The sequence below is a fragment of the Homo sapiens genome, chromosome 6 (genome assembly GCF_000001405.40).
Source record: "Homo sapiens chromosome 6, GRCh38.p14 Primary Assembly".
Classification (NCBI taxonomy): domain Eukaryota; kingdom Metazoa; phylum Chordata; class Mammalia; order Primates; family Hominidae; genus Homo; species Homo sapiens.
Genome location: NC_000006.12, coordinates 29,496,123 through 29,511,051, shown reverse-complemented (window position 1 = coordinate 29,511,051; position 14,929 = coordinate 29,496,123). Strand labels below are relative to the sequence as shown.

The following is a 14,929-nucleotide window of genomic DNA, read 5'->3' as shown; positions in this document are numbered from 1 at the left end:
TCTGCCTTCTCTCCAAGCAAGGGGCCAGTGCTTTCCCTTCCTAGGGAGGGCTGGGCCACTCTGCACACTCAGATTGTGCAGGGGCATCTGGGGATTCAGATAAAAAGAGAAATGGGCAGAGGGGAACAAGAAAGGGGCACAGAGAGAGAAGCTGGGATGAGTCACGAGAGCACAGAAAGAGGGGCAGAGACACGGCTGGTTGCCAGCAAGGTCTCAGGATCAATAGGAAGACCATTGTTGGAAGGAGGAAGATTTCCCCAGTATTTTGTGTGGGAGCTCCAGTTGGAAGCTGGAAGCTCTGCTCTTTTGCATCTTAGCGTGAAGACGGGGACCATGGGTTCATCTCTCCCAGGCAGCTCTTCATTTTGTTGTTTTATTTTCTTTTTTGATTTTTATTTAGAAATTTTCTACATTTCCTAAAATCTTAACTTTTATATCATTGTTGGTGTCCAGTAAATTAAGAGAAATGTGGCAAAATGACATGGAATCCAAATACATCATCAAAGAGATATTTTATTTGTAAACAAGTTACTCTCTAAGGTCTTAAAATCTGCCCCAAGTGTTCTCTCTGCACGTGAACAGGCGGAATAATTGTGATAAAATGGAAGAGCCCAGCAGGTGGGGTCTGTGAGATCATTCAGCTGACTCCTGCAGACAATGTGCTCTCTCTCTCTCTGCCCCCACACTAAGGGTGCACTCCTTGTTCATCTCCAGGACGGTGTCAGCAAATGCTGCCTGGGGCATGCTGGTGATCACTGTGTCACTTTGGGTCAGGAAACACATTCTGGAGAGGACAAAGCAAGTGAACAGGCCTTGTACGCTGAGTGGAAGGCCTTTTATCTCCAAAAAATCAAACCAGAGAAATTAAAAAATATCTTGAAACAAAAGACAAGGGATACACAAATATAAAAACTTGAGGGTTCCAGGGACCAGAGGGCTTCTGCACCTTAGCCTGTTTCCTGCTTTGCTAAATGAGCAGATGTGTGATGTGCTCTCTTTGGTCCCATCGCTTCCTATTGTGATTCCTCCACCCTGGGCACTTGCTGTCATCCTGTTCTGCCGGCTGCTGCCTCACTCAACAAAACCTGTCGACTTCGACTAAGGTCAAGATTCATGGGTCGACCTTAGTACCACCTGCCATTGGCCCCAGGACCATGCCCTGTGCCACCACCCAGGCCCCAGAGCCCACGGCACAGCAGGTTCACCCTGAGGACATCTGAACAGGTCTTTTTTCACAAGAGGACAGAAGAAAGGATAGCGACACTGAGCTCCAATGCCGTGAAGAGGAGCATCACAGACAGGATCCTCTGAAATGCAGGATGCACGAGGTCTGTGCTGGACTGGCCAACCCTTCTGCCTTCCTGAGATGACCAGATGGGTTTAGACAGTGTCATCTGCTGGCTCCTCTTCCCTCGTACCTGACTCAACCTGCTCATGATCTGGGAGACAGTGTCATATCCTAGTATCCTGGGCCACTCCAGGGACAGCAGTACAGGTGGCAGGTGACACCCAAGGTTGAGCTGAGCCTCCTGACTCTTCATTCATCTGGCCTCCATGGAGAGTCTCCGCCTGTCTGGGTTTCAATTTCGTCTTCTGTAAGATGGGGACTTCCCACTCACCCCTTAGGGCGGTTTGCAGGTCCACAGAGGTGGTGAGGCAGAAGGCCTTCCTTTGTAAACTGAGCGCCAGCACCTGCTACCCACCTATGCTCCCTGGGGTGGGCCTGCTTGGCTTGGCTGGGAGGCAGCAAGGGGCACCTTGACCAATCAAAGTGATGTGCTGGCACAGTTGCTAATTCTCACGCCAGTCCCCAGGAGCTATCTGCCTGAGGAGGAGAACAATTCTGCTTCCCTGGGTCACCTTCCATGGAACAATGACTTCCAAGTAGAACAGGTAAGGCCACAGGTGGGCAGAATCTAGAATTTATTTGTACAGACTGTGACTATAGTGGGTTAGTGTCCCCCCTCAAATTCATGTCTACATAGAACCTGAGAATATGACCTTATCTGGAAATATGGTCTGTGTAGGTGCAATTAGTTAAGGATCTCAAGGTGAAATCATCCTGGATTTAGGGTGGACCCTAAATGCAATAACTGGTGTTCTTATAAGAAGAGAACAGGACACAGAGACAAACAGAGGGGAAGGCCTCATGAGGATGGAGACAGAGGTTAGAAAGACGTGTCCAGAAGCCAAAGAATGCCTGGAGTTCCCCAAAGCTGGAAGAGACAAGAAAGAGTTTTTTCCTAGAGCCTTCAGAGAAAGAGCGGCCCTGCCGACTCCTCGATCTTGGACTTTGCTTTCAGAACTGTGAAGGAATTCACTTCTGTTGTTTTCAGTCACCAGTTTGTGGTCCTCTGTTATTGTGGCCATGGGAAATGAACACAAGGACCCCTCAGGCAGGGGTTGCCGCTTCTCAGCTCTTCCTGAGAAGCTCCTGAGCCAGAGAGCTCAGGCTGGTTTCTGAGGAGCTCATCCTAACCCACTACACAAACCCCATCCAGCCACTCAGCAGATGCCTCCCCTGCCCCTCAACCCTCCACTCCCATTATAGCTGCTCCATCTATGGGAGGATGGCCTGAAGCCAGCGATGAGGGGATGGGACAACGGCCAGGCTGTGCACACATTCCCCCTGCCTGCTGCCTCTCCACCCCTAGAATATCCCCCTCTATGGCTGCAGGAATGCAAATTTCCTCTGCCTTCTTTTCTCAGTGTTCCACACACATGTTCTCTTGACTTTATTGACTAAACACATTTTAGAGCAAATACTGATGCTCAGACTGGCTCTAATGCAACAGAGAATGCGAAACCACATTCTGTCATTTTCATAAAGTTCTGATTGCAAACAACAATTAAAAAGCCCATTCCGTATTTGTTTCCTGATTTTTTGGGGTCATTTTTGGCCATCCCATCCATTTTTGTGCATGTGGTGGAATTAGGATTTAGCCTCTTGCAGCCTCCCTTGACCTGTGGCTCTTGCCTGGCTGAACCTGGGCACTGCCAGCCTGTGGCCACCCTGTTTATGAGGTTCCTATGTCTCCCTGAGCTCTTGGCCTTTCTTGAGCAATTCGCTACCCTGACCCTAGAGTTCTTGCTTGGAAAAACCCATCCCTTGAGACTATGACAGTTAAATCAGTTTGTTTATTAAGGTGCTCAAATTGAAACCAAGTTGTTGGTTATGTCTTTTTGCAACTACAGTCTTGCTTGATATTGTACTTGAACAACTCTTTTGGCACAGTCCAGTCAAATGCCTGCTATTCTCCCATGTGTGGGTTCCTGTGTTCTGCCTCTTTCCGCATGGTCCACATCAGAAGGAAGCAGTGAACAAGAAGCAGAAAATCTCAAAGACTTCACTAGTCTGGAACATTCTACCTAAAAATACTCACCAGTAAGCTGGAGCTGGCCACAAAGCAGCTGGTGGTCTCATTCTTCGAAAAGTAGTGGCTGTCTTGGGGCACTGATGGGCAGGCACCACCAGTTGGCACTGTCTGGCAGCTGGGAACACCCCGGCTAGGTGATAGGGAAGGACAATGAGGCCCACTGTGGCAGCCATGGGGCTTAGGAGGCTGCTGATCAGGCTGTTCCAGGCCTGCAGGGGATCTGGTCAGGGTCTGCTCCTGAGCAGTTCATGCTCCTGGGGCACCACGATCCCACCAGGCCAGCAGCAGGTTCTCACATCCAGGATCCTCGGCAGGATGGGACTTCCTCTTCTGTTATACGATTTGATTAATTTTGTTCACTCTCAACCCCTCTCAGAGCTCCCCAAGCCTACAGGCAAATGCTTGCTTGATGCACGACACATGAAAGCGTGAATGAAGCAGAGACTTATGGTGGGACAGACAGGAGATGTGGTTCTGGTAGCTTCTCCACCCAGGACTGAGCAGGGCTAGAGGAAGAGGAAGATATGTATAGAACTGATGTCCCATTGGACTGAACCGAACAGAGAAAATATTGCAATGCCCACAGTGCTTGATAAATCACAGCTTCCCTGACCTCCAAGCCCCCTGATGGCTTTACCCAGTCCACTGGCACCCTGAGGAGGTTCCTCCAGCCATCTCCCCTAAGCCTAGCCAGAGGCCTCCTGCCTCATCCTGAGCTGAGGCTGTCATCAGGTGGGTTCCCAGACATGCTCTTTCCTATCACCTGGCTCTGTCTGCAGCACCCCTGCACGGTAGAGCTCGAGGCCAAGGGGCCTGCTCACCCAAGTACAACAGATGCCCCCACAGCAGCCTCTGTCATATGGGGACAGCAGCAGGGTTGGTGCTCTTTCCTGTTCTTTTCATCCACTCCACTTTGTGAAAAGGGTGCCCTGGCAGGAGGGCCAGGGAGCATGGGGTACGAGGGCTCAGTGTGGGGGCAACAGCACCTGGGGCCGAGGGTGGATGTTCAGATCCCGGCTGGGGCACGGCCCAGAGGAGGGCTGAGAATCACAGCTGCGCCATGGGGGGCTACCTCCCCTCGAAAGTAGGAAACCTGGATTCCAGTTTTGCGGTGTCCAGACTCACTTTTCAAAGACCAACACCAGGGGAGGAATAGGCTGATGTCTGTGGTGGCTTCTGGGACACCTGGGCTAGGTGTTCCAGCCCGTCACAAACAGCCCATGGCACGTGTGCTCAGGTATGCCCAGCAGCCTCTGGCAAAGATCCGGGCCCTCTTCCCAGGGGCTCAATCTCAGAGCTGGGCAGTGATGGGGGAAGAGATGGAAAAAGGTCGTGGGCCATTTCTCCATACAGCCCCAGGGATTCACAACTCGTGTTGTCAGAATGTTCTGAGAAAGTCCCTTTTTTTCAAAGAAGAGGTCCCTGAGGATGGTGGCGGGTGAATTTCCTAGGAGCCTAAGTGGCCCTGGAACACCGTGGTCCCCACCTTGTGCCGCCGTCTGCCTCACCCAGCTGCTGCTTGCTCTGTAGGGCTGGTGCTCCTGCCCTTGTTTAGGGGATCCACACAGGCTGCTTTCCTGGAGGGCTCAGGGGAGGCTGAGGGTGGGGATGAAGAAGGGCATCTGATCCTTTGAGGGAGGTCTGAGAGAATGACAGTGTCCAAACCTGGCACTGCCACCTTGAGGCTTGGCTGCCAGTTTCTTGGCAGCTTCTGTGTCAGGACAGGGAGACCCCCAAATCCCAGGTCACCAGAATCTCCACCATACCCATCTCTGTCCCCCAACCCATGCCTCTTAGCCTCCTAAGAAAGGCCTGGAAATGATTCTGCAAAAGTTTGTCAATCAGATGTGCACCCATCACTGAACACCCCCTTTTCACTCTGCACCCTTCCTGGCCCCCACCAGCAAGGCTCATCTCTTTTGATTGATGCTTTTCTCACCCAGGCTGTGGGGCACAACTAACAGCCCATGCTCTCACTGTCCTCTTTCCCCTGTGCTCACCAAGGACCTGAACCCCGGTGGTCAGTGAACACCAAAGGGTGTCATGATGAGGCAGAATTTTCCCATAAAGCCACCCAGAGCCTGGAGAGGGTACAGGACTCTCTTCAAAATGAGGATCATGAAAGGTGTCCCCCAGATCAGTGGGCCCTGTGTACTTCCACAGGGCCACTGACCAAAGGACACTTGTCAGCAACCTGGGGTTCAGTTCCTTTGTCTGAACCTTGGAAAGATCCAACTGGATGAGGTTCCGCTAAAGTCTCTTTTTAGTAAGTGAGGCACTGTTGTTCCTATACTCACCAGATGCTTGTTTGATTTTCTTCCCAAAATGACAGACAGCAATCCAGAAATGATAAACTACTCAGAAAAGAGGAAAATGGTAAAGTCAGTTTCCACATGAACAAGCACCCCGATGTCCCTACCACTGAATTGTCACGTCCTTGTACACCTCCAGGAACTTCCCCACAGGGCTGACATTATTGGGCATGCTGGAAGCTGGGCCAAAGTCCAGGCCATATGTGGCTACAGGCCAATGTTGGGGGAAGTGGATATAGGAGGCCAAGCCACCCCTAGAATCTCATGAGAACCTGACTCAGCTGGAGAGGAAGTTCTTCTAGGGCAAAGACAAAGGGGCTTAAGGCCCAGGCTCCCCAACAGGGACCAGGGAACAGTGATTTTCAAGGGAGAGAGGGCAGGTAAATGTTACAAGACTCTATTTAGATGAAGATGTTGTGGTGGGGAGAGAAAAGCCACGCGGGCTTTGAACTGTCAGTTCCATGGGCTCTACCAGAGTCAGAGTTAAGGACAGAAGAAAAAGGGGGCCCAAATAAAGGGAAGATTTTGAGGCCAGGTTAACAGCTAGAAAAAAACTGTTGATTCTGGGTTATTACAGAAAAAGTGTTCTGTGGTAATGCAGTAATTTGAAATAGCTGCAATGTACGAAAACTACATGGCATGGTGGCAAGACTATAAAAAAAAGTTTTTCTGGTCCTACCAAGAAAATAGCCAGATAGAGAGGGAACAGGGAGGTTTGTGACTCAGTGGTCAGAGGATGCTCAAAAGCCACCGTGAATGCAAGAGGCTGCGGCTGGGGCGTGAAGACAGGTCTAGGCTGTGGGAAAGCCTCATTCACATTTCACAAGACTGAAAGCTTTCTCCTGAAGCTTCTTGCTGTGGCCTGAATGTCTGTTGCCCCCAGATTTCATGTGCTAAATACCTAACCTCCAATGCGATGGTATCTGGAGGTGGGGTCTTTGGGAGGTGAGTAGGTCGTAAGGGTGAAGCCCTCATCAATGGGATTACTTCCTTTATAAAAGGAACCCAGAGAGATTCCTCTGCCCTTCCACCACATGAGGACACAGCGAGAACGCTCTATCTATGAACAAGCAACAGCCTTCACCAGACACCAAATCTGTCGGTGTCACGATCTTGGACTTCCAGCCTCCAGAACTGTGAGTAATAGATGCTTGCTGTTTATAAGCCACCCAGCTTATGGTATTTTTGTTAAAGCAGCTCAAGCCGTCTAAGACACTCCTTGATTCCAGGAGCCTGGGGGATATTCAGGACTCCGAGGCTATGTCTGGAGCGTAACTCTGCAGAAGGCCTTCCACATGCCAAGAGATGACAAGCAGCAGATAGAGCTTCTAAGTGCTCCATGCCACCTCTTCAAGCTCAGTATATGCTCTACTGACCCCACTGGTCCTGCTGGCCCCATAGACAGGGCCACAAATGCACCAGCCTGGCCACCCCACTGTGTGCCCTGTCCACCCCATTTCTCACTTGCTGTCTGCCCACCTCACTCCTACTCCTTGTGTCACCTGAACTTAGGGAGAAGTAGGGTGACCCTATGTCCAGTGTGTCAGGGACAGTCCTGGGTATTCCTGTGATCATGGCATAAATAGTAATAGCACACTCTTTTATTCTTATAGTGTCCCTGTTGAGGCTACACATGCTATTGTCACCCCAGAGAGAAGCTGCAGGGCTCCCAGGGCCCTCGAGGATGGCACTATGAGGATTTTGGAAGAACTGATATTTGAGCCAGATGATCAATTCTGTTCCCATTGGCAAAACCCCTTCTCCTGCCAGGCCTTCTCTCACTCCTGGCTGATTGCCCTCAAAACAAGTTCCATTCCTGCATCTTTGCTCTCCACAGAGACATTGCTAGGTAGCATATCAGTTGTCTGTGCCCTGCTCCATCCCAGAGACCACCCTCCATGAACACCCATCCTACTCACATACTTGGCTCCTACGAATGGGTATCCAGACCTCACCAAGGTGAGAACCACTGGGCCAAAGTGACAGGGAAAGGAAGTACATGCCAAAAGGATCCCCATGCTCATAACTGCAAAGCCACAGAGGATCTGGATGGTCTGTTAGGGAAGAAGGGTCACCTGGTGTGACCTCAGAAAGATATGTTCAAGTCCTAACCCCTGATACCTGGGAATGTGATCTTCTTTGGAAATAGGGTATGTGTAGATGTCATTGGGATGTCAGTTAAGATGAGATCAGAGTGGAGCAGGGAGGGCCTTTAATCCAGTATGACTGGTGTAGGTACAAGACAAGAGAAACAGGCAGATGCTGGCAGAGAGAATGTCACACAAAAACGGAGGCAGAGGTGGGAGGGATGCAGCTGCAACCAAGGAGAGCCAAGGACTGCCAGGATACACCAGAGCTGGGAGAGAAAGCCTGGCCCTGCCCAGACCTGGATTTCAGACTATGGCCTCTGGCCTCCAGAATTGGGAGAGCATGAGTTTCTGTTTTGTTTTGTTTTTTTTTTGTTTTTTTTTTTTAAAGCCATCTGGTTTGTGGTAGTTTGTTACCATGGCCCCAGGAAACCAACTCACTGGGTGAGTCAATCAAGGGCCAGTCATTGTCAGTTTCCCCAGGGAAGCGGAGTGCTGGAACTCTCTGTGCAACCCAAGGAGATAGTGCGGAAGCAGGAAAAGCGTCTCAGGGGCATGGGAAACCAAGCACGCAGGACATGCTCCCAGCCCTTCCCAGTGCTGGCTGAGATCAGCGTGCAGTGAAATGCTGGGTGTTTCTGTCTTTAGCTCTGAGCTGTGGCAGTGGGATCCCAGGTGATGACTGGTCACAGCCCAGGAGGTTCCCATGCCCTTTGCTCCCTCTCCCTCCTGGGCACAAAGAAGCACTTAGGAGACAGCAGGTGGGGCAGGAACTGGCTCCCACTCTCTGCAGGATGAGTGGACACAGGTACCTCTGTTCGGGGCATGGCTCCTTGTGGGAGACAGACCCCAGAGCTGTGACGGGGTCCCAGGCAGCCTCTGAATCAGCCTCAGAATATTTCTACCACAAGAGTTCACATTCTTGCAACATTTACCAAGCAACCTCCTACCTGTTCTAACAGCGGAGTCAGCCCAGAAAGCACTTTTCAACCCAAGGTTAGGTGTGGCCTGGGGATTGAAGGAACAGCTGAGGCTCCCACAAGTAGGGAGGTGCTGGCCCTGGGCCCCAGGCCCTTCCCCCTGGTGCTTGTGTTGCCCAGCTCCTTCTTTCCATTTCCCCCTCCTCCCTTTGGTCATGCAATGGAGTTGTATTTCTTTAAAAATCATGGATCGTATGAGAGATATTGGAAGGCAGACTAAGGGCACATATCTGTTTTCAAATGGTTAATTTCTCAAGAAGGGAGAATAGGAGATGAATTGTCTATAATTTTTAGAAAGAAAAAAAAATCCCTGGGAAGTAAAATCTAGAATAATTTATTCAACAGACTATTTTTTTTCTTTTGCCTCCAAATAAAGTGTATGCAAATATGTTATTATTCCCTTAAAATGAGTTAAGCAGCCAAAGTTTTATATCTCAGGTGAATGCTCCCCATGAGCACAAAACTGGGAAATCTCTTACTTTCTTGCGGAAAATGACTAGGTGGTCCCAGAGGCCTCCCCCGACGCCTCCAGAGCAGCCTGGAACTCCTTAAGCCAAAGGCTCTGTCTCCAAAGTGACAAAGTGTCCTCCTGGCACCCACTCAGCCTCTGCCCTTTGCTTGGCTGTTCTTACCCCAAGCACCTGGGCCTTTTTCTTCAGATTTTTTTCTCACGTTGTCCTGGTTGAGAGGCTCCAGATTCTCTGTGAGGTGCTCAAAGATGCAACTTTGTGGAAACACCACACAGTATCCACTGGGCAGGGCTCTGGACCCGGATAGGGATTGCTGCTGCTGCTGCCAGACAGGCGCGGAGCCAGGTCCGACTCTGGACCGAGACTTAACATTGCAAACTTCCCAAGCTTCAGATTTCCTTGGGTAGTCAACTAGAATCCCCCAGTCATCCCAAGGCGACCAGGGTTCTAGGAAGGAACCTGGGAACAGGGGTGCCTCAAAACCCTGGCGTAGTGAGAATTCTCATGGGTTCTTGGCATTGCACAACACCTGTTGACAGCACAGCCTGCCCTGAGGAGGGTCACAGCAGAGAGAGCAGACCAGCCTGCCTGCAGGTGCCCAGCTTCACCTTCATACTGGTCATGAATTTCCTGCAGTCCCTAACAGGCTTGGGACATGCTCCCTCCAGCCCAATTTCAGGATTGGATGCTTTTCAAATTCTGCTCTCCATCCCTTCTTATGCCAGGTCCATTCCTTTCAGGACATCCAGTTAGCACTGCCCTGCTTCTATAACCCAAATATTACGTGATTCTTTGTAGGAAAACCAATTGTTGGTGTCAGAGCTCTCTGAGCACTGACAATAGGCTAGGCTTCATGCTAAAGCAGTGCTGTTCCTTACACGCAGCAAGGCCCGTAATCAGAGTCCGAGGTACTAGTTCTAAATGAATAAGACATTCTTAGCCCAGAGACGCCTAGCCACAGCATGGCCTCTGTATGAATGTGTAGTAAATGTAAGCAATTACGAGTAATGCCAGGTTTAACTGTCACAGCCGATGTGACAAAGCCCGCTGGCTCTGGGTCTTTTCTCTTTTTACCTCCTCAGCTCCCTTCTTCCCCCTCTTGTAGTGTAAGGCAGCTGCATATGGCAGAAAGAGAATGTGGTCCAGCCCGTCCCCTGGTCTCTGCAGCTGAGCCCAGGCCCCACCTGCCCCAAGGGCTCTGTTCACTGCATCAGCCCCTTCTAGGACAGCACAGTGGGGAAACAGTCTGAAGTTGCCCAGAGAGAGGAGGCTCCTGCTCCTGTGGCCCTTTATCCTGCGTCTGAGCTTGCAGGATGTTCTGGGATCTCTGGGCTGGAGTGGGCAACACCTGCAGCTCAGAAACCATGTCCCAAATTAGGCACGTGAAGGAGTCTGGTGGAAAAAGTATTGGGCCACAGAAACAAGGCTGCTGGGTACCTTTCCCAATCTCACAGACAGCGTCCTTCAGAAGAGACCCCAACACTGACGTTGGCAGATATCTCTGAGGGGGCCTGTGTGACTTTCATCTCCTCCAGGACCTCTGGGCTTCATTGGCCCATGTCAACCTGTTCTGCCCTGATTGGCAGGGAACACCCCACATCTCTGGCTCAGGCAGTTATGATGACAAAATTTATAGGGCCCTTCCTGCAGCAGTTCTTTAATTTTTAGAACAAGGCCAGTGGCATTGTGATTGAGTTCAACTGCTGGGGAATCAATTGCATTGAATTTGTGTTGGGTGGTATTGTGTGCACTGAAGACACAGTGCACACATTAAGATCTCAGAACCTCAGAGCTGCAAGGGAGCCCCATTTAGCAGATGAGAAGTTTCTCCTCCTAGGGCTTCAGGAGCTGTAAACATCCACCCCTAGATGCCACCGTGGGGTCGGAGCCCCACAATCTGCCCATCTGTATGCTCCCCTAGAGGTTTGAGCAGTGGGGCACTGAAGAAGCAAGCCACACCCCCATCACGTGCCCCGCGAGGGGAACAAGGGAACTTTTCTCATTTCAAAAGTATAAAACTCACTGTAAAAATAAGAATATAGTACAATTCAGACTTCTCTCATACTCTGATGGCATAAGTCACTTTTAATTCTAGTATAAAATTAAAAGATAAAATAAAACAATTATAGCCATAATAATTTGTTGGTGGATACAGAGTATGAAAAGATGTAAATTGTGACATGAATAACATAAAAATGTGTAGAGAGAAGAAGTTAAAGTGTAGGGTTTTTGTATGCAGTTGAAGTTAAGTTATTAGCAGCTTCACATAGACTAAAAACTGTAAGATATTTTATGTAAGTCTTATGGCAACAACAAACAAAAACCTGTAGTAGGTACACACAAGACAAAAAGAGTAAAATCAAAGCATATTACCACACAAAAAAATCATTAAATTACAAAGGAATACAGCAAGAGGAAGAAAGAACAAAATATCTACAAAATAGTCAGAAACCCCTGAACAAATGGCAGTAATAGGTCCTCATCTGTCAATAATCACTTTAAATATAAATGAATTCAATTCTCCATCAAAAGACATAGAGTGGCTGAATGAATAGAAAAAGAAAACCAAGATCCAACTATGTGTTGCATCTGAGGGATTCAATATATCTTTAAGGACACACATAGGCTAAAAGTGAAGGGATGGAAGAAGATGTTCCATGCAGATGGTAGCTAGTAGAGAAGAGGGGTGGCTATACACACATCAGATAAAATAGACTTTCAGTTAAAAACTGCCACAAGATTCAAAGAAGATAATTTTGTAATGATCGAAGGAGTCAATTTATCAAGAAAATATAACAATTTTAAGTGTATGTGCACCCAAGTTCAGAGCACCTAAATATGTAACGAAAATATGAACACAATGAAGGGAGAAACAGACAGCAACACAACATTAGCAGGAAACTTTTATACCCCACTTTCAACAACGGATAGATTGTCCAGACACAAAATCAAAAAGGAAACTTTGGATTTGAACAACACGATAGACCAAGAGGTCCTAAGAGACATTTATGGGACATTACATTCAACAGCAGCAGAATGACCATTCTTCTCAAGCATACACAGAACATTCTCTAAGATAGATCATATATTAAGCCACAAAACAAATCTTAACAAATTTAAGAAGATTAAAATCATATCAAGTCTGTTTTCTGACCACCATGGTAATAAATTAAAAGTTAGTAACAGGAAGAAAATTGGAAAATTTACAAATTTTTGAAAATTAAATAATATCATGTTGAACAATCAGTATGTCAAAGAAGAAACCAAAAGGCAAATTTAAAAACTATCTTGAGACAAACACAAATGGAAATACAACATCCCTAAACTTATGGGATGCAGCAAAATAGTTCTAAGAGAGAAGTTTACAGTGATAAACACCCACATTAAAAATATTATAATATAATTTTGCATGATGTTACCACTGGAAAACTGGGTATGGGATCTGTTTGCATTATTTCTTGCATCTACATGTGAATCTACAATTATCTAAAAATTAAAAGTTGAATTTAAAAAGCCACAAGAATGATAATGTACAGAAGAGCAAGAGGAACAGAGAGATGTAAAACATTTCATTTAATCAAATATTAAAAAAAAAAAGAAGTTGCTGACCCAGTAATTTCACTCCTTTTCGTTGGATATATGCTCCAAAGGAATGCCTGCATTCATTCTAAGACATGCTACAAAACATTAAAATACAATGGTCAAAATATGAAAAGACAAGGGATTTCATACAATATAATCCACCCAAAACAAAATCCAAATTATTTTTTAGAAGTTATTAAAATAGAAACCACATGTTTTTGAATATGTGATTAAAGCATACTTAATACAAAGAGAAAGCTTTGCTAACTGGAAATTAACTATTTGTTTTTGTCTTAAACAACTTTTGGTACTGGAGGATTTTAAAATGAAAATTATTTAGAAAATAGAAATGTTGAGATAATTGCCAGTGGTTATATGTTAATATCAGGAGGGACTTGCAGACACTGGAACAGGACCTCAGTGGGGACATGCAGAGCCATGGGGGCTGGCAGTGCTGGCTGCTGCATGTCACAGGAATAAACACAGAAAGCACATTATTGTTAAAGAAGAGAGCATGAGCAGACACTGAAAATGCTTTAATAAAGATACCAGAGAACAAGATAGTGTTAGTCCATTATGTCCATTACCACACTGCTATAAAGAACTACCTGAAACTGGCTAATTTATGAAGAAAAGAGGTTTAACTGACTTATAGTTCCACAGGTTTAACAGGAAGAATAACTGGGAGGCCTCAGGAAACTTACATTTATGGCAGAACACCAAGGGGAAGCAAGCACCTTCTTCACATGGTGGCAGGAGAAAGAGAGAGAGTGAAGGGGGAAGGTCACACAATTTTCAACCATCAGATCTCATGAGAACTCACTCACTGTCATGAGAACAGCAAGGAGGAAATCTGCCTCCATGATCCAGTTACCTCCCACCAGGCTTCTCCAATTCGATATGAGATTTGGGCGGGGACACAAATCCAAACCATATCATGTGTCTATAAGAAACACAGAGATTTACACTATTGGTATGTAAATGGTGCTACTGAGACCAGATTGGGTACAATGACAAACACTTCCTGTGGATGGTGACGTCTTTTCCAGACTAGGAAGACTGGAAAAGAGAAATCTCCATGTGGACGGCCAGGTGTCAGAAAATGCTTCAATCAATGGATTTAGTTAAACAGCATAAAACAGCTTGCCATGTAGTTATTTTGAAATAAATTACTCAGTCAGGCAGCAAATTCAGGGAAAGTCAGCCAAATAAATATACAAATGTAGACAGAGAAGTCTTCCCAAGAAAAGAAGAGAAAGCAAAGAGAAATGGCATCACCAATGAAAGCACACACAGAGATGTAACTTCAGAAATGGTGTCCAGGGAAAATGTCCTTTCCCATCTTCACATCATCCTCTGGACATTGACCAGCAAGCAGATATTTTCTGACGCAGAAGAAGAAAGGAAGCTCTTCTGATCTGTACAGTGGGCAGATCACATCTCCGTGGGGTGTTCTACAAATGTTTTATTGATCTTTGGTGATGTATTTTTTTTGTCATCCAGTAATTTTTTTCATGCCCCTTGTCAAGATAATTCTCCATCCTTATCTGGTGTGCTTCCCTCCTGGCAGGGTCTAATCTTTGTTGCCTGCTCTGGAGGTAGCAGGAGCCTCAACGGTTCAGAGAAGTCCTATCTCCTTCCTGTAGGCAGCAGAAATTCATTTCTCATGAACATCAAAGTCTTCTTAGTGAGATGGGTGCCTGGTGGGTGAAGTTAAACATGTCCAGGATGGGCCATGGCTACGCCACAGGACCTGAAGGGTTTTATCACAATAGGTGAGGACTGCCCTCAGAGTGTGGCATCAGAGTCAAACTCTGGTATTGTAGCTGCAAACCAGCACTGATCCTTGGGGGCAATCCCTAGGCATCCTGGAAACTCTGGCTACTGATTGAGTTCATGAATGAGATGAATACCTAGAATTTAAGCATACACCTGAATGTGAACCTTGCTTATGCTGAATTTCCTTTTTCAAATTTAAATGTTGAGCTGACACTGATAAAATTAGGCTTCTCCAAACAGCAAGCCAAACTTTGCTTATTTGCTGACAAGCCAGCAGGCCCTTCTATTTCAGAAGAAGTGATGTAGAACCAAGTTCTTAGCAAGCAATGAACTCAGGTGTCT

At 47.2% G+C, this 14,929-nt stretch overlaps 1 long non-coding RNA gene across 2 annotated transcripts; it reads right to left on the bottom strand.

Moving 5' to 3' along the window:
* Window positions 1-487: 487 nt before the first annotated feature.
* On the bottom strand, window positions 488-13,577 carry LINC02829 (long intergenic non-protein coding RNA 2829). Of its 2 annotated transcripts, NR_183360.1 has the most exons (5): window positions 13,513-13,577; window positions 12,836-12,903; window positions 5,675-5,731; window positions 3,384-3,883; window positions 488-784 (listed from the first exon to the last, which is right to left on the bottom strand). It is a non-coding gene; the product is annotated as a long intergenic non-protein coding RNA 2829 (long non-coding RNA). The 2 variants fall into 2 exon arrangements; NR_183359.1 differs by lacking the exon at window positions 12,836-12,903.
* Between the last annotated feature and the right edge of the window lie 1,352 nt (window positions 13,578-14,929).